General features: G+C 49.7%; 1 protein-coding gene across 13 annotated transcripts in view, besides 3 other annotated features; it reads right to left on the bottom strand.

Annotated features, from left to right (window-relative positions):
* Nucleotides 1-18,642, bottom strand: part of ATP11A (ATPase phospholipid transporting 11A) — a 197,131-nt gene that overhangs the window by 165,071 nt on the left and 13,418 nt on the right. The window lies entirely within an intron of this gene.
* Nucleotides 1,450-2,649: an enhancer, noted in NCBI's record as "BRD4-independent group 4 enhancer chr13:113373763-113374962 (GRCh37/hg19 assembly coordinates)". NCBI's record gives its function as "activates an origin of replication core promoter dependent on BRD2, P300/CBP, MED14 and CDK7 cofactors, and independent of BRD4, by STARR-seq in HCT116 cells {active_cell/tissue: HCT116}" and the evidence as "EXISTENCE:reporter gene assay evidence [ECO:0000049][PMID:35650434]".
* Nucleotides 7,456-8,285: an enhancer, noted in NCBI's record as "H3K27ac-H3K4me1 hESC enhancer chr13:113368127-113368956 (GRCh37/hg19 assembly coordinates)". NCBI's record gives its function as "activates a minimal SCP1, AML or CMV promoter by ChIP-STARR-seq in primed H9 embryonic stem cells {active_cell/tissue: H9 hESC(primed)}" and the evidence as "EXISTENCE:reporter gene assay evidence [ECO:0000049][PMID:30033119]".
* Nucleotides 17,740-18,283: an enhancer, noted in NCBI's record as "H3K27ac-H3K4me1 hESC enhancer chr13:113358129-113358672 (GRCh37/hg19 assembly coordinates)". NCBI's record gives its function as "activates a minimal SCP1, AML or CMV promoter by ChIP-STARR-seq in naive H9 embryonic stem cells {active_cell/tissue: H9 hESC(naive)}" and the evidence as "EXISTENCE:reporter gene assay evidence [ECO:0000049][PMID:30033119]".

Here is an 18,642-nt window from a genome sequence, read left to right as displayed (position 1 = left end):
AATAAATCTCCTCAAATATTGTGAGTTGGACCCTTCACTGATACAGAGTTTGGTTTTTGCAAACTGTAGCGTCCTTCAGATTGCAGGGTTATGTGGCCCCAGGATATTTAAGTTAAAATGACCCAGCAGCTCCCATGGTGGGCAGTGTGCCGGCCTCCCCTTGTCTGCCACGGCCTGCACTTGGCGCCTCCAGCGGCTGCGGTGCTGACGGCCTGGTGAACCTCCTGGTCGCCCTCACATCCTGGCTCCTATGTGGTCTCCTTCTTTTTGCTCATACTAATCTGAATTTGGGAAACAGCCTTTTTCTTAACACTCTAAAAAAGCAGTTATATGCAATGTCATTCGCTGGGGGCCAGAAGAGGCGGGCAGGAGACAGGTTCATGACCCCGGGAAGCCCAGCCGTGGAGGAGAGGGAGCACCAGCGTCCCACAACTGACCCCGGGACTAACCCCAGGCCCTTCTGCTGTCTTGTGGGACCCTCCCACTTCCTCACTCCTGGCTTCCACGTTCCTCGTTCCCAGGCCACATCCCCGTTCCATCTTTGATGTCAAGTCCAAGAACACGGGAAGCTGTTTCTGTGTCTTCAGCAGTGACCGCTGCAGTGTGCTGCCAGGGTGACACCACCTCTGGGCCCTGCCTGGAGTACCCGGCTTCCCTCGACATATCCAAATGCACACGCAAGAGAACAAAGCCTCTTTGTTCTTAGTGCTTAGTGAGCAAAGGTACGTTTTCTCTTTTCAGCCTTCCTTCCTGCTTCTTTCCCGTAACATTTGTGATCTAAGAGACCAAAACAAACAGTTTTCTTGACTAAGATGGACCCTAACGCTAAGGAAACAAAAGTTACCTGCGGGGCAGAGGGTTCCAGCAACTTCCTAAATTCCTAAGGCTACAAGAAAAAAACACACTCCAACTCCCTAATGAGAGGAGCAATCGGACCCTAACTCTGATTTACAACCCAGACCCTTCCACTTCTGACCGGACAGAGGACTGGCCTTACATACACCCTTTCCCGATCAGCAACTGTGGCCCTCAGCTGGCGGCAGTAGCTCCTGGAGGCTGCGGACTGTGGCCTGTGGTTCACCTTCTGACTTCAAGAGCCAAATTCCAGCTCGGCCCCCACTAACAGAATGGACCCCTCTTGGCCAAAGGAACCCCAGAGGCAACTTCAAAACTGAATTCTCGGCCACGACATAAGGGAGGTTGAACACGCCTGGCCCCTCCCATTTGGATTTTAGGTACTGATGTCAAAGTAGACATCACGGAAGACTAATCTCAGCACTTTGAGAGGCCAAGGCAGGTGGATCACAAGGTTAAGAGATCGAGACCAGCCTGGCCAACACGGTGAAACCCCATCTCTACAAAAAATACAAAAATTAGCCGGGCGTGGTGGTGCACACCTGTAGTCCCAGCTACTCAGGAGGCTGAGGCAGGAGAATCGCTTGAACCTAGGAGGCAGAGGTTGCAGTGAGCTGAGATCATGCCACTGTACTCCAGCCTGGCGACAGAGCGAGACTCCGTCTCAAAAAAATTAAAAAAAAAACAAACAGACTCTACCCAGAGGCTTCATCTGCGTGATAAAGCCCCGGTCTCCACAACCTCTTTGCCTCAACCCAGGCTCACGGGACCCGCGGCCACAGCAGACGAAGGTGAACGCACCCCACAGGTAACCCTGACCCTGCGCGTCGGGCGTGGGTTTCCTCATCTAAACACTCCCTTCCACTGGCTCCAGGCTTTCAACAAAGCTTTACTGCTTTAACCAATCGCACACTGAAGAATCTCCGACTCCACCTATGGCCTGTGACACCCGTTTCAAGAAATCCCACCTTTCTGGGCTAAACCAATGTATACCTTCCATGTACCGATTTGTGGCTTTGCCTGTGAGTCCTGTCTCCCTAAAATATACAAACCCAAACTGTGATCTGACTGCCTCAGGTGCACCTTCTCAGACTCTGTTTCCCCAGCCCACAGTCACTTAGACAGGCTCAGAATAAACCTCTTTAAAATAGTTTACAGACTTTGGTCTTTCCATTAACAGAATGGTCATTAATGTATTTGATCAATCCCTTATCCACAGACTTGAGATGTTTTCATTGCTACAACAGATACTGCTGCAAAGAACATTCTGATATGATTGTGGGCACTTGGGATATGACTTTCTTAGGCTGAATTTCCAGAAATGAAATGGAAATACTTTTTTTTAAATTATGGGAGACTGTTGTTTTGGACTGAGCTCCAGCACTAGGCCCCAACAGACCAGACCAAACAGGAATGGAGTTGCTCCTGCTCAATGCCACGTCACCAAAATGGAACTTTAAAGAAGTGACAGGTCCCAAAACAGACCGGTTTTTCTCAAAAATAGGAGATTCTGTTGACCTGAGTCAGCAAGTGACAAAGTCCCCTCTGCTTTACCCTCTACAAAGAAGTAACCTGAAGTAACCTGAAGTAACCTGAAGTTCACCATCAGCTTCTTATTCTGTTTCCTTGCTTCCACCTTACAAAACTGACTGTTCTGCCATTGCCCAGTGGGAGCTCTCATTATGTAGAACGGACGCTGCCCCGTTAAGGAATTGTAATTAAAATCCAATCAGATCTATAACTAAATGTTTTGTAATTTTGTCTTCTGACAGTTGGAATCAAGGATACATTATTTTGATTCGGCAAATGGGATTATTCCCACAGCCTACAAGTTAATTAATCTTACATTTTAAAAGTGTTTCAAAACAAAGTCATGAACAGAAGATTGAAGATTACGTGAGAATATAACAAAGGCATGCAAGGCATTGAGTCTTTTTATATTGACTTGCTTTTGTGTTGCCTCTGGTGCAGTTTGCATACCTGAAACACACCATCATAATTTCCTGCCTGCGCGTCACAGGGCATCCTGAGGGCCCCTGACTATTCACCAAGACGGTCTTTGACGCGATTCAAAGTCACACCTGCGCGTCACAGGGCATCCTGAGGGCCCCTCCAACTGTTCACCAAGATGGCATTTGACGCAATTCAAAGTCACACACACACAGTTCAAATAAGCCGGACTTTCAGCATCTTCTCTTCTTCTGTTAAAGCCATCGTTGAAATCCTAACCCTCCCTCAATCCCTACGTCCTATTTCAAAAGCAGGCCAGGTGCAGTGGCTCACGCCTGTAATCCCGGCACTTTGGGAGGGCAAGGCGGGTGGATAGCCGGAGGTCAGACGTTCGAGACCAGCCTGGCCAACATGGTAAAACCCCATCTCTACTAAAAATACAAAAGAAAAAAAAATTAGCTGGGAGTGTTGGCGTGCAACTGTAATCCCAGCTACTCAGGAAGCTGAGGCAAGAGAATCCCTTGAACCTGGGAGGCGGAGGTTGCAGTGAGCCAAGATCGTGCTATTGCCCTCCAGCCTGGGTGACAAGAATGAAACTCAGTCTCAAAAAAAAAAAAAAAAGTGCAGCCTGCAAGCCCACCCTGGTCCGACTGCTAATCCAAACCCAGGGATCCAGGACCCAGTGACAATCTCTCGAGGGCAGTTAGAAGAACCTAAGTGGCAAGTAGCTGGGTGCTGCCTCTGCGGGTTCCCATCCCCACCGCACACACCTCGGAGGGAGGACCCCCAGCGGAGGCGGCTGCCCTCTGGGGGTATTTCACATGAAACTTGCGGCAGGCGGCACAGTTGTCTTCTTGCTTAGGCTGTGTTTGGAACAGACAGAAGAGTTGTAAATTTAACTGGAAACACTTGGCTTTGGCTGGCTAACAAATAAAATTTCATGAGCACAAACAAAAAGCAGAGTTGAACATTGTCACCTGAAAAGAAATTTAAAATTGTTAAAGCGTCAAAAAAATCCAGGTGCTTTTAATATCTATATTGTTTTTATGCTTTTTATCCAATGGTAAAAGCAATGAGTGTTCTTTACGGAAAAGCAAAATAAATTCAAGCAAAAAGACTATCACACAGCAAAGGGGGAGAGACAACTCCTGTTCACGCCTTGGCGGGGTGGGGGGCAGGGGGCGGTGGCAATCATTTATTTATTTATTAATTTTTTGAGATGGAGTTTCCCTCTTGTCACTCAGGCTGCAGTGCAGTGGTGCAATCTTGGCTCACTGCAACCTCTGCCTCCTGGGTTCAAGTGATTCTCCTGACTCGGCTCCCGAGTAGCTGGGATTACAGGCATGCACCACCACGCTCAGCTAATTTTTGTATTTTTAGTAGAGATGGGGTTTCACCATGTTGGTCAGGCTGGTCTCAAACTCCTGACCTCAGGTGATCCACCCACCTCGGTCTCCCAAAGTGCTGGGGTTACAGGCGTGAGCCGCCGTGCCTGGCCACGTGGCAATCATTTCTAATGCACAGATGTGTGTTTGAAACTTTTTCGGAATGGCATCACACAACATGTACTGTTTTCTCACCTACGACCATAACTTAATCAATTCAGTATCATCATATGTTTAGACAGTTTATCAGGTTTGCCTGATTTACAAGCAGTGCAGAGAACTGAAAAATGAATTAGCAAATAAAATGAAAATCTATAAACTTGACAGTAGTGTTTGTAATGTACAATGTGAAGGTTGTACATTCAGACCAGAAGCATCAAAATCATAAACATGTACCACAAGAGTACCCGGGGATGTTTATTTTCAACCAAATCATGTTCAGTTGTTAAAAGGGTGCTTTCTAAAAATGTGTTTTCAAAAGAATCCCACACGCCCTCTTGAACAACCCTCTCAGCTTGGAGGTAATGGAGCTCAGTCAAGGAGGCAGAGAGCTGCTGCTTCTCCTGGGATGGCGGGGGGGCATGTTCTGAAATAAGAGTAGAAAAACAAGTTGGATGTGATTAGGAGAAAAAGTATTATGCTAACCTGGGCCACTCCTGCACCTACTTTCCAGCAGCCTTTTATTACAAATAAATGAGACCATATTTGCATTTTAAATTTTGTCCCGATTGTTCCGTTCTTTACACTTGAACAAGTGCCGTCCTCAAGGCGGAAGCGTGTCTGCTCTCCTCCTGGCTTCTCTTTCTCTTCCTGGTCAAGGTCACAACAGAAGCCTCCCCCTCATTTCAGAACATACTCGTGTCCCCCACTCATCACCAGGGCCAACAACAGCCTCTATGGGCCCTGCAGGCCAGTGGGTCTGCGTCTGTGGGTGGACACCACAAGCCTCTGCCCGTCCCAGGGAAAGTGCACGGGCCTCCAGCTCCCGGATGTCCACCTGATCCAGTACTGCCCCATCATTTCACCTTTATTTTGCACATAGCCATCTTTAGAACGCAGAAATTGAGGGAGGCTGGGAGGCCAGCAGCCTCCCCGACCTACCCACACCCCACCTGGGCCCTGCAGGAGCTGCCACTGCCCCACTCACGCAGAGCCCCCAAGTCCAGGATGGGCCCCGTCACTGGCTGAGACCTGGGGAGGAACCTGCTCTCACACCCTCTCCAGCGGCCCGGCCCCATCGACGTGCCCAAGACATGGGTGAGAGTCAGGACCTGGCTCAGTGCAAACCCAGCCCCGAGCCAGGCTCTGGCCCTGCATGAAGACCGGCACAGTGGAAGGTGGGGAACGCCCCAGTCCCAGGAGGCCTCCTTGCCCCCTCTGTCCCGGCTCCCGTCCTCCCAGAGGCGGAGGGGATGCCTACCAGGAGACTAGAGGTGGTGGCCCCCACAGGCCCCCAGAGCCACCACAGACCACTGGGTTGGTGGTTCCTTCTGAGTGTCTGGGCCACGTGAAGTGAAAAACTAGGAAGTGAATCTGGGGAGACGCCAGGCCACACGCACCTAGGTGGGCATTCCCACGGGTTCCCACAGCTGTCGGAGCAGAGCTCACCAGGAGGGGCAGAGAGAGATGCGACTTGCTAAAGCCCCCACTTCCCACCAGATGGGGAATGCCTGGGGCCTAGGGACTTGGCCCCACCACGGTGGATGCTTCTCATGGGAGCTCTGGCAAAAGGTCTATCACAGGGTGCTGTGGCTCCCAGCATCTGCAGAAGGCCAGAGGACCAGGCTCAGAAGACGGAGCAGCCACCGGGAACTCCACTGAGAATGAGCTCCAAGCCTCTCCAATTCTCAAAGTCCAGGCAGGAGCCACCCCCAGGCCCCCACAGAGCCAGCCTGCCCAGAGCTGCTGGGGAGAGAAAGCAAAGCAAAACCCAATTCCACACCCAGCCACTACCATCCCTCAGAGAGCCCTTAGTGGGAGAAGGGGAAAGGAATGGGATCGGATTTCTAAGGAGAAGGTGCCCTCAAGGCCATACACTCTGTCTCTCTGGCAAACACCTTCCCCGGCCCCCAGAGGTGTGAGCAACAGGGCTCCAAGCCCAAGCCACTTGGGAATGATCACAGAGCAACACAGAAACAGGTGCGAATTCGTCCTGCAAAATAGCACAACTGCTGAAAAGGCACAGGTTAGGGTTGTCTTTGGAAGAAGATTAATCTGTAAAGAATTCCCAGAGAAAGTAAGATTTTAATCAACTGTAAATACAGAGGGGCAACCCTCTGGGGAGGAGGGGCAGTGTGACCAGGTGGGGGGATCAGCCAGGTAGGGAGGATCAGCCAGGTGGGGAGGATCAGGCAGGTGGGGGGGGGCCTCAGCCAAGTGAAGGGTGGGGATCGGCCAGGTGCAGGGGATGGGCCAGGTACGGGGATGGGCCAGGTGTGGGGGATGGGCCAGGTGTGGGGAGGTGGGCCAGGTGTGGGGAGGTGGGCCAGGTGTGGGGAGGTGGGCCAGGTGTGGGGGGATCGGCCAGGTGTGGGGAGGTGGGCCAGGTGTAGGGGATTGGCCAGGTACCGGGGATGGGCCAGGACACTACAAAGCCAAGAGTGCACATGTCACCCCAGGTTGGTGCCTCTCTGTAGAAGCAGGCAGGTGACAACACAGTCTTCTGCAATCGAGTTTGGGGCACCTGAGGGGGCTAGTCCTTTTGAGAAGCTTTCGGTCAGGAAAAGCTGCCGCAGGAAACAACCCAAGTGTCCTTCAACAGGTGAATGTGTGAGCAAAACGTGGTATATCCATGCAAAGGAACGGCGGAGTCATACAGGCTACAACACAGGGACCCTTGTGGACTTTGTGCTGAGTGAAATGAGCTGGTCACAAAAGGACAAATCCTGTGTGAGTCACTCATTTGAGCTGACAAATACCTAGAGACAGAAAGTTGAATGGGGCTGCCAGGGTCTACGGGAAGGGGGAAGGAGGAGAGAATTTAAGCGGGACGGAGTTTCAGTTTGGGAAGAAGCGGAAGTTCTGCGGGGGGGCAGTGGTGATGGTGACACAAGGTGAACGTGCTAAAGCACTGAACTGTGCACATAAATCTAGACAAGATGTTGCATGTTTGTTATGTGTGTTTTCCCATGATCTTAAAAGCCTGATCCACAGTGGCCTCACTGACCTGCCAGAAGCCGAGGTGGCAAGGGGCTCTCGGTGCTCTCAGCACCCCACCCGCTCCAGCCCAAGGTCGAGAAGCTTCACCTTCACATTCTCTTGCGTCTCCATAACAGTCTCATCACGCAGAACGCGTATTCCATCACAGACACACAAAGAAGGCAGCAGAGGGGGCTGGAGCCAGAAGCCAGACGGGCCTCCAGGTCAGGAGTGGAGACGCCACCTCTCCTCAGCCCTGGGGAGGCCCAGAGCTGGGCAGGGTTCGGGGAGTGAGGAGGGAGAAAGGGAAGGGGAAGGGCTGTCCTTCAGGTCTCCTCCACACCGCTCCCTGACGAGCCAGCCACACACATAGGAAAGTCACCGTAAACATTTCCCTGCAGAGACGTGGGTTCCCACAGTGGGGTCCTGTGGCTGCAGCGGAACACCCCAGACCAGGAGATGGAGAACACAGCTGGAGCGGCAGCGGGAGGTGCTAATCGGGGAAGGAAAATCGGTGCTAATTGGGAAGGAAAAGAGAAAACAAGGGGAAAGAGAGCGGGTGCAAGACAGCTGGGAGGAGTGGAATTCCAGTAGACGTGGGGCCAGGAAAGGAAGCCGGGTGGGAGGAGTGGAAGGGAGTTGTGGGATCAGGGGTGCGGGGAGTGGAAGGGAGGCTGGGACCAGGGGTCGGGGGAGTGGAAGGGAGGCGTGGGATCAGGGGTCGGGGGAGTGAAAGGGAGGTGTGGGATCAGGGGTGGGGGGGAGTGGAAGGGAGACTGGGGCCAGGAATGGAAGCTGGGTGGGAAGGGAGGCGTGGGATCTGGGGTGGGAAGAATGGAAGGGAGGCTGGGATCAGGGGTGGGAGGAGTGGAAGGGAGGCTGGGGCCAGGAATGGAAGCTACACCCTCTGAACTGCTACTCCCCATCCTAAATAGGTTGCCTGCCTGCGTCCTGACAGCATCCTCGGCCTTTTTCCCCTCAACTGGACACATGCAAACCGATGTCTGGTTTCATTTTATCCTTATCAACAGTTAGCTGTCTGTCATCAGAAGATTAAACGGCCAGAATGTGATCTTCCCGCAAATTAAACCGCGAGTGAAATGTCCACTCTGCCTGAAACAAATGGAGTCTCAGAAGCTGTGGCATTAAACAAGAATCAGACACCTACTGAGACCTCTTTCACAGGCGGCTATGATGGCACTTTAACAAATACTACAAAACTATCTGTCACTTATGCAGTGCACAATTTTTTTATTTATACTTGTTTAATAACATGAATTCTTACATGCATGAGAACCATTACACTTTGAAGTCACTTCGTTTCATGATTATTCATGCCACTTTGTGAACTCCATGTTTTTATTTATTTTTTTTAGAGACGGAGTCTTGCTCTGTCACCCAGGCTAAAGTGCAATGGCATGATCTTGGCTCACTGCAACCTCCGCCTCCCAGGTTCAAGCAATTCTCCTGTCTCAGCCTCCTGAGTAGCTGGGATTACAGGCGCCCACCACCATGCCCAGCAAATTTTTGTATTTTTAGTAGAGACGGGGTTTCACCATGTTGGCCAGGCCGGTCTCAAACTCCTGACCTTGTGATCCGCCTGCCTCAGCCTCCCAAAGTGCTGGGATTCCAGGTGTGAGCCACCGTGCCCAGCCCTCCATGTTTTAGAATACTCTGAGAATGCTAAAATGGATGGATGTGTAGCTGCTGTCATAAGTCTACTGAAATACAGTCGAGCGTGCTCTAAATTTCCAAGCCTCTGCTCACATTAACCAGATACGTCTCTTTCAAACATTCAAACAAATACTCTAGGTCTCCTCAGACACTGAGTTCCAGCATGGCTGCTATAAAAAGAAAGCCCTCACCTCCGAGGTGTTACCACTTTCATACGCTTTGTGTTCAGCAAACACCAGAGACACAACCTCCCCTGGCCTGCACTGAACCCCGAGTCCCAAAAGACAGGGGATGACAAACACCCTCTTTATTTTTTCCAGTGGACATAAGAAAAGGCAGAGGTGGCACCCTGGCTGGAACTGGCCCTCACCTCACCGACTGTGGTCCGGCCATAGAGCCACACCTTGGAAACAGGTTTCCAGTCTCTGTGGGGCACTGACGCCGGTCCAGTGAGAGGGGCTCTGCGCAGGGAGTCGAGGGGCTGTGGACGCTAGCTGACCAGCCGGGACCATCACCCACAGTAGAGAGAAAAGCCTGTCCTTCGGGCCTGTCTCAGAGGCCTAGACAAGGACAGGACGGGGTTGCTGTCCCTCACCTCACGATCCCCCACCCCCAGACCCTCACTATCAGCCACACTGTGGGGCCCAGTGAGCTTGGATAAAGGCTGGTGTGGCACAATGAAGACATCCAGGTAGGGCTTTGAGGGCCATTTAAATGACACCACCTAGCTCCAAGGCTGCTGGAGAAAACCAGCCCTGACTCCCTTAGCCCCAGCAAATTCTAACCATGGAGGGAGCGTTTTGTATGCGGGGCTGGGTGCATAATTAAGCTGCTCTTCCCCCGTGGGCACCACCACATTGTTTACTCCTGGGGAACTACCGGCCACATTTCACCGTGAAGCAAAATGCATCTGTGCTATTTTCAAGCAGCATAGCGTGTGTCACTCAGGGTGGGGAGGGAGAACGGGGAAAACACGTGGGAGCCAACATGCGAAGGAGGCACCTGGCAGCTTCTGCTTTGTTTTTTAAACTCATCGACAAAAGGTCCTGCCCCTGACACTGCAGCCAGCTGTTCTCACTCTGGGTTCAGCACGTTGCTACCCAGACAACAGGGCTGGGAGAAGGAGCCTCAGATTCCTAGGAATGTTAATTAACTAAGGCCTCTCCCCTCCACCCGCTCCTTATCTATGTGCTCCAGAAAGTGAGTCATCCAGGCTCCTGGGCTGTATTCAGAAGGCAGAGAGGCTGGGAGAGGGCGTGGAGCCTTGCTCCCCTACGTTCACAGCAATCCAAGAGCTGCCTCTTACTCCACACATCCGGGCTGTTTCCCAGTCCCGGGAACACTAGCAATTCAAGCCTGGAATTCTGAACAGCCAGGACTTCCAGAGGCTTAAAAAATGGAAGCAAAACAGAGTCTTGCCCGGTCCAAAGCCCTGACCCCTGGCTCAACGCACGGTGCCCGCTGACGGGATGTCCCTGCAGTGCCCCTCCCAGTCCAGAGCCCTGACCTGACTCCTGACCCCTGGTGGATGCGGTGCCTGTTTACGGTGACGTCCCTGGGCTGCTTTTTTTTTTTTCTCATCAGGTGGATTTAAAATTGGATCTCAGGTTCCTCCCCTTTGAGTTTTAACTTTTATTTTATTTACGTATGTATCAGAGACAGGGTCTTGCTATGTTGCCCAGGTTGGCTTCGAACTCCTGGGCTCAGGGGATCTGATCCTCCCACCTCGGCCTCTCAAGTAGATGGGACCACAGGTGTGCATCACCACACCTGGCCCAGCTTTTAGTTTTAACAAGTAATTTGGGACAATTTTCCTGCTGAATACTTCAAGCCACTTTTTTAAGCGACAAAATTTTAGAGCGAATACTACCTTCTAAATTTCAGCATTTTTTTTTAAATGGCTCTGGCTCAGGAAGCATGATGAAAAGTCGGAAGAGCCGCACGCGGCCCAGCTGCCTCGTGGTAAAGTGTCAGCACGCAGGACGGGTCCCCTGGGATCCTGCCTCCTTCCCCCAAATACGAACATGCCAGCCCTCCAACCCTGATTTCAGCAGCCTCTGGTGACCTCTGACCCCGGCACTTTGAGAACCGAGTCCCTGCTTCAAACAGCGGTGGGTGGGTGGGTGGGTGGCTCCGGGTGGTTGGCAGGGGCCCTGCCCTCCGCTCTGAAGCCTCCCGCACTGTGACTAGTGCCCCCTCACATGACGCGGGGCTGGGAGAGCCCCAGGGAGCCGAACCTTCTCTCCCTGCAGGGATGATAGTGACGGCAGGTGAAGACCAACCAGAGCTGTGACTTGTCTGCCCTGTTATGATTTTTAAAATGATTTTCATTACTATCAGCATTTGCCAAAGACTGGAACTGGTCTTCCCCTCACTGTCCACACTCACCACCTGTGAACGCCCTCCCCATGAGACAGCTCTGCCGGGAGTGTTACAACCCCTCCCTGGAACCAGAGAGCAGCCCAGGCCCAGGAAAACCCAGCAGCTCAGCCCTGCGGGGCCTGCTTGGCCACCACAGAGGCCTCCGCCGCCTCCTGGAGCCCTGTCTTCTCCCGCAGGCTCCTTCCTTCCTGTTAACGTTCTAGTCGAGATGGCTCCAAGGGCCCTCATGGGTAGAACTCTTCCAGGGCAGTGGTACAGGAGAAGGGAAAACCTGGGGCGCTTGTTTTCTGGGGAGCGGCCCTGCCCTGCTACAGCCCCATTTGTCACATCCTGTCGGGAAACACTGATTTTTCCAGTCACACACGGTGTGGGCCACTTGCTTAGGGGTGAATTGGGTTTTGAGTTTACATTAGGAGGCATGAGCTGGCTTTGCGAACACGATGCATTCTTTGTGAGAAAGAGCCTTTCCAAAGGGCCCCCAAGGCAGCAGACACAACTTAAACACCACGGCCACACACACGTCTGCAAAGAGGGAGGACCACATGGATGACACTCGTGATTCCCGACTGCAGCCGGCCTCCCCGTGATGCTGAGGGAATGTGGATGCTGAGAGTGGCCGCCTGACACCCGGGTGTCACGCAGTTCCAGGCCCTCACCATGGCTGATGCCCAGCTCCAGGGCAGAGTGCAGGCAGAGGACCTGTGCTGTTGAGACCCTTGCTCTCAGCTGTGGGATGTGGGCAGCATCAGCTCCAACAGGGGCTGGTCAGCAGCAGGGAGCAGCGCGGCCTAACTGGGCTATGCCCTCATGGGCGCAGCTCCTATTTGCAGACAGTTGACAACAAGAGTCAAACTCTGTAAAATATCTGAAGAGATTTATTCTGAGCCAAATATGAGTGGCACAACCCTCAGGATGTCCTGAGAACATGTGTCCAAGGTGGTCGGGCGCAGCTTGGTTTTATACATTTTAGGGAGGCATGAGACTTAAATACATTTAAGAAATACATTGGTTTGGTTCAGAAAGGCGAGACAACTCAAAGCGAGGGGCTTCCAGGCTATAGGTAAATTTAAACATCTTCTGGTTGACAATTGGTTGAGTTTATCTGAAGACCTGGGATGACAGAAAGGAAATGTTCAGGTTAAGATAAAGGATTGTGGAGACCAAGTTTTATTGTGCAGAGGAAGCTCTTAGATAGCGGACTTCAGAGAAGGCAGGTTGTAAATTGCTTTTTATCAGACTTAAAAGGGTGCCTGGATCTTAGTTGATTATTGCCTGGACCTGGAAAGGAAAGAAGGAAAACAAAGGGGGAAGAGGATTCTCTACAGAATGTGGATTTTTCCCACAAGTGACCTTGCAGGGCAATTTCAAGGTATGACAAGGAAATATATTTTGGGGTAAAACATTTTGATTTTCTTCCTTGTTATGCCAGAGTCAGATTGGAAAGTAAGTCATGATATACAGGGTTAAATAAAACCCATCTGATGAGAATTTATGATTTGTAGGGCATGACTCCCCAGACCCCTTAGAAAGGAATTTGGGTAAATTTAAAAAAAAATCAGAGCTTAGTCCTGAAGACACAGCCAGGAGGGGCACAGAGGGCTGGCCAAGAGTCCCACATGGGCCCCTGAGACAGGCTGGCTGGGGACACCCAATTCCCCCTCCCAGACCTGCTTCCGGCACTCCCCTTCCCGCCTGGAACCCTACAGACACATCACACCCATCCCTCCCGGAGTCTACCCTGGAACATGTGCCTGCCCCAGAGGGTCTTCAAGTTAAGACAGGAACCAAATCACTCTCTCTTCCTTGGCCAGGCCCATTAAAAACATAAAATCAGATGCACATGATCCTAGATTCTCTGCACAAACTCCCCCTCCCCCTCCATGAGTTCAAAACACAGGCGGGAGAGCCACTCGTTGGAAGACGACCAAAGCTACAGGCTTGTCGGGCAGGGGTGGGACCAACTCACAGGGCCACACGCAGCCCACGTGGGGCCCACAGTGAGAGGCCACATCTGAGTGACAGCCAGGGAAGCCGAGAAACTGTCCATCAGACTCAGTCGCTCTGAGGTTTGCAAGGGTGACATGTTGATAGAAATCAATATCAACCCATTTTTTAATGAACTAAAATTGTGAGTGAGGGTGCTAAGGAAAAGCCATTAATACTCCTTTTACGTTTTACTTTTCTGTCAACTGCGAAGATTACCTGACAAATAGGGTTTCTAGTCAATTTCATGCTATACTTGCGGTTTTTAAATGAGTCTAACGATGTAAAATATATAATTACTCCATTTTACAATTAAGTTTCTTACTAATAATAAGGGGACTTAGGTTGGTACAAAGGTAATTACGGTTTCGGACCGTGAATTTTAAATCATTATAACTAGGCTCAAACACATCTTTATTAACCAAAATAGTAACCATTACAATCAACACATTTTTGCCAACGAGAAATAAGTTTGTTTATTCCTGTAGCATAAAAATCAGGCTTTGGGATTCGACAAACTCTTGGAAAGCATTTTCTGCATCCTGCTGGTTGTGGAAGCGTTTTCCCTGTAAAAGTTGTCGAGATGCTTGAAGTGGTAGCTGGTTGGTGAGAGGTCAGGTGAATATGGCGGATGAGGCAAAACTTCGCAGCCCAATTTTTCCACTTTTGAAGTGTTGGTTGCGTGACGTGCGGTTGGGCTTTGTCATGGAGAAGAATTGGGCCCTTCCTGTTGACCAATGCCGGCTGCAGGCGTTGTAGTTTTCAAAGCGTCTCATGGATTTGCTGAGCATACTTCTCAAGATGTAATGGTTTTGTGGAGATTCAGAAAGTTGTGGTGGATCAGACCGGCACAGGCCACCAGACAGTGACCAGGACCTTTTTTTGGTGCAAGTTTGGCTTTGGGAAGTGCTTTGGAGCTTCTCGGTCCAACCACTGAGCCGGTTGTCACTGGTTGTCATATAAGATCCACTTTTCGGCGCACGTTACAATCTGATCGAGAAATGGTTTGTTTTTGTTGTGTAGAATAAGAGAAGATGACACTTCAAAATCACAATTTTTTTGATTCTCGCTCAGCTCATGAGGCACCCACTTACCGAGCTTTTTCACCTTTTTAATTTGCGTCAAATGCCGGTCGACTGTGGAATGGCTACATTGAGTTCTTCAGCAGCTTCTCGTGTAGTTTTAAGAGGATCGGCTTCAATGACTGCTCTCAGTTGGTCGTTGTCAACTTCCAAAGGCTGGCCACTACGCTCCTCACCTTCAAGGCCCTCGTCTCCTCTGCAAAACTTCTTCTTCTTTTTTTTTTTTTTTTTTTGAGACAGAATTTCACTCTTATTGCCCAGGCTGGAGTGCAATGGTGTGATCTTAGCTCACTGCAACCTCTGTCTCCTGGGTTCAAGCAAGTCTCCTGCCTCAGCCTCCTGAGTAGGTGGGATTACAGGCGTGTGCCACCACACAGGGCTAATTATGTATTTTTGGTAGAGACAAGGTTTCACCATGTTGGCCAGGCTGGTCTCAAACGCCTGACCTCAGGTGATCCATCTGCCTCGGCCTCCCAAAGTGCTGGGATTACAGGTGTGAGCCACCACGCCCAGCCTGTAAAACTTCTTGACCCAGCACTGCACTGTATGCTCGTTTAGTGGTTCCCAGCGGCTCCTGGGCCCAATGTGGTGCTGATGTTGCCGAGTTGTCTCCACTGCTTTACAACCCATTCTTAACTCGAATAAGAAAATCGCTCGAATTTGCTTTTTGTCTAACGTCTTTTCCACAGTCTAAAATAAACTTAAACGGCAAGTAATAACTCAGTCGCAAAAAAGCATAAAGTGAGAAATTCACATTAAAATGATGTGTGGCATAACCACATTGATTTAAGAGTGTATTCCAATATCAAACAGCAAATTTCAACAATGCAAAAACCGCAAATACATTTGCACCAACCTAATAGCTTCTGAAACCATGCCGTCCTTTAAAAAGCAGCACAGCAATTTAGGAAATCAAAGAGCTATTTCAATATAAGAACAAAAAAAATTCTCATTGTATTTAGAGAAGAAATAACAGGAATTGTTTTTCACAGAACCAACAATTTTACAGGAAAATACTCTTAAATGTAATTTTCAAATTAATCAATCTATTTCTTCATAATTTCTTAGATAGTAAAAGAAATGTTATAGACCAACTGGAAAGAGAGCACTTATTCAAACCAAGCAATTAGCAGAACCGAGCTCCTGGAAGAAAATGCCACAGAAAACATCCTCGTTCCAATTTCTTATAAACACACTTAGGAAAAAGCCATGGAACCATGTAACACCATCAACTAACATCATTATGAGCTGTATGATTTAAATGTCCTGCCTGCTGAACATCACGCTTTTATGACTTTCTGTCTCTTACTATCAAGTATGATTTGCTCTAAGATGAAACACCAGATCCTCCTCTCTTGCAGCTCTCAGCATATTAAGCAAAATATGAAGTGCAAATGAGTCCTCACATTCAAGTTTTTACCTTTTTACCTTTTACTATGGCCAATTATTTAAAAGAAAAAAATCCTCCTATCTCGGTCCATCCTGCATTTAAACGTAACTAGCACTTGTGTTTCAATGTCTTCTCTTCACCCGTTAAGATCTCTTTCACTGATGAAAAAAAAGAGTGTTGCCCAAAAAGCAAGCTACACAATAGTAGATGCAGAAACTACTTAAAATTGCCCCTAATCAGTTTCAGTTTGGGATGATGAAAAAGATCTGGAAGTACCTGGCGGTGATGATCGTACAGCACTGAGTGTATTTAACGCCATGGAACTGTACGCTTCACAATGGACAAGATGGTAAAGTTTATGTATGTTTTGCCACAATAAAAAAATTACCTATAAATCAATGTATTGTATATTCGTTCAATAAAGCAATACATCTTTATAATGTTAAAAATCATCCAAATTTACCTACTATGTAACATTTTCCTCCTTTGGCCGTATAATATTAAACAAGCTTAAAACACTATTGAAAAGCAACACATACATTCTGTATTGTGAGCAAGAAAACTAAAGGGGCAGTCGACACCTGCTTAGGTCTCAGACTAGGCCTCTGCTCATCCCTCCTGGGGGGCTTCCTCTGCCTGGAGCTGTCCTCTGATGGTCCCTGCCGGCTTCCCGTCCTCCATGCCCCGTCCCGGACACCCTTCCCTTCTCATTTTGTCCCTGGCGCCTCCTCACAGCGGGTGTGCTACATGCCATGTGCCTTCCATCCTTGCCCAGTCTCCAGGAGAGCTGGGGCGCCTGTACCTCTTGCTCCCCACAGAATCTTCAGCGCATACAGCAGCTGCTCAGTGCGTGCGGGATGAACATCAACTGCTGAGCACCCCCGCGTGCTGAGGACATCACACACCCTCCCCTACGAGAATCCCAGGGTTTCCCTCTCTACGTGTCATTCGCTGCCGAGGGCCTGCACATTTTGTTTCCACATTACATCCGAGAAATGGTAAAAGGAGTTAAATAACATCAGAAATGAGGACAAAAGGAAACTCCAGCCACCATGACAGTCGCTCCAGCTTTCTTTTTACATGTTGCTTTCAGATTTATACCAAAGTCATTTATTACTGAAAACAAAAAAGCACGTGTATACTTGATGGTTACCTAATATTTTAATGGTTTGTCTCCATTTATCTGAGTGAAATCACGTCACCTCACTGCACTTTCTAGAGAGAAAAGGAGATGCCCGTTATTCCACGTTTGTGAGGCATTTTATCGGAAAGTGAAGGAGAATCTGTGGTCCCATTTGCCTGCAAACCTCCCATCCCCCACACCAGGGGTCCCGCTGAGGTCTGAAAGCCATTTCCATGTCTTCGTGGGCAATCTGAGACCTTGGAAAACCACACCAAAATCTAGATGGCATTCTACTGGCAGGACCTCATTGTCCCTAATCCTTTGCTGAAAATAGGTTGGAGGAAATCCTCTTTTCTCTGAAGCAGGAGATTATTTAATTATTTAGGCAGCCACTTCCTTCCCAGGCAATGGTGAGCAACAAAGCCAGAAAGAATGAAGGAAATGGGTGAGCTGCTCCTGTCCCTGAGCAGGTACAGAGAGTGGGGGACACCCCCAGCCCATCTCAGACTCAGGCAAGCTGCTCCTGTACTTGAGCAAGTACAGAGGGAGGGGGACACCCCCAGCCCATCTCATACTCTCACGTGCTCCAGATACAAACCTGAGACGCACGCCGCAGTCAGAGCCTCGCCTCCCACAGACCTTTCCAGATAAGACAACGCGGGGGCAGAGCAGCCACTGTGGCCTTGGGCTCCCAAGAGCATCAAAACCAGTTATGGTTTCTGCTGAGTGCTGGAGCCACTTGGCCTTGCATTTTCAGTGAAAGAGAGCGCAAAGTACCCATAATTCCTCCAACAATCGCCAGAGGCCACCCTAACTACCGACTGAGAGCAGTCACAACCTACAATCACCTCTGAGTTGTGCGTACAACAACTGGGCCAGTACTTAATGGATGGTAAAGACCTTTGATTATTTAAAAAGACACTAACCCAGAAAGGTGGACGACAGCTGGCTTGGGAACTCACTGCTTGCCTTGGGAACCCACATGGTGGCTGACGTGTGGGTGGTGTGGCACTCGAGCCCTCCCGTGACTCCCCCGCCTGGGACAGCAGGACCAGCGTATCCCATTGTTCTGACCTGCATTTCAAGTGCAACTTCCAACTAGCACGGTCCAATTTTGTCAACGGTAAGACGTCCTCCTCCACACACGCAGGTGAACAGAGTATGGGCTCCAAAAAGCAATTCCATTTACTGGAAGAACCAGATCATGATCCAGCAGCCTCTGAGTTTACTGAGCAGACAGGCCCAATCCCGTTTTGTGATGTAAACCCTAACATCTGTCTTGTCAATAAGCCAGATGCTGTGTGTTTGGATTGTAATGCAAACACCAAAACAATATGTTATAGCATTGTTTTAATACCAACCACCTCTCCCCTACCAGCTTTCTCCAGTGGGAAAAAAAAAAGCAAAAAGAAGACATAAATACACAGAACCTTAGATCCGAACCAACCACGGGAACTGCGGTCTGTTACATCTAAGAAGGGTCAAATTACCTAACTTTGTTCCACAACTTAAAAAATAACCCATTCTCACTAAGTAATTACGTTCTGTCTTTCCAGACTTCGTGGAACATGCTTCTGTCATCTATTTCATAAAGCAACAGACAAGGCGTAATGTGTTTTTCTGACTGTCCTCTTTGCCATTTCCGATCCGTCTGAATATTCGCCATCTAAATAGTGCCTC

This window comes from Homo sapiens, chromosome 13 (assembly GCF_000001405.40).
Source record: "Homo sapiens chromosome 13, GRCh38.p14 Primary Assembly".
In the NCBI taxonomy this organism is placed as follows: domain Eukaryota; kingdom Metazoa; phylum Chordata; class Mammalia; order Primates; family Hominidae; genus Homo; species Homo sapiens.
This window is presented reverse-complemented; position numbering and strand designations above follow the sequence as displayed.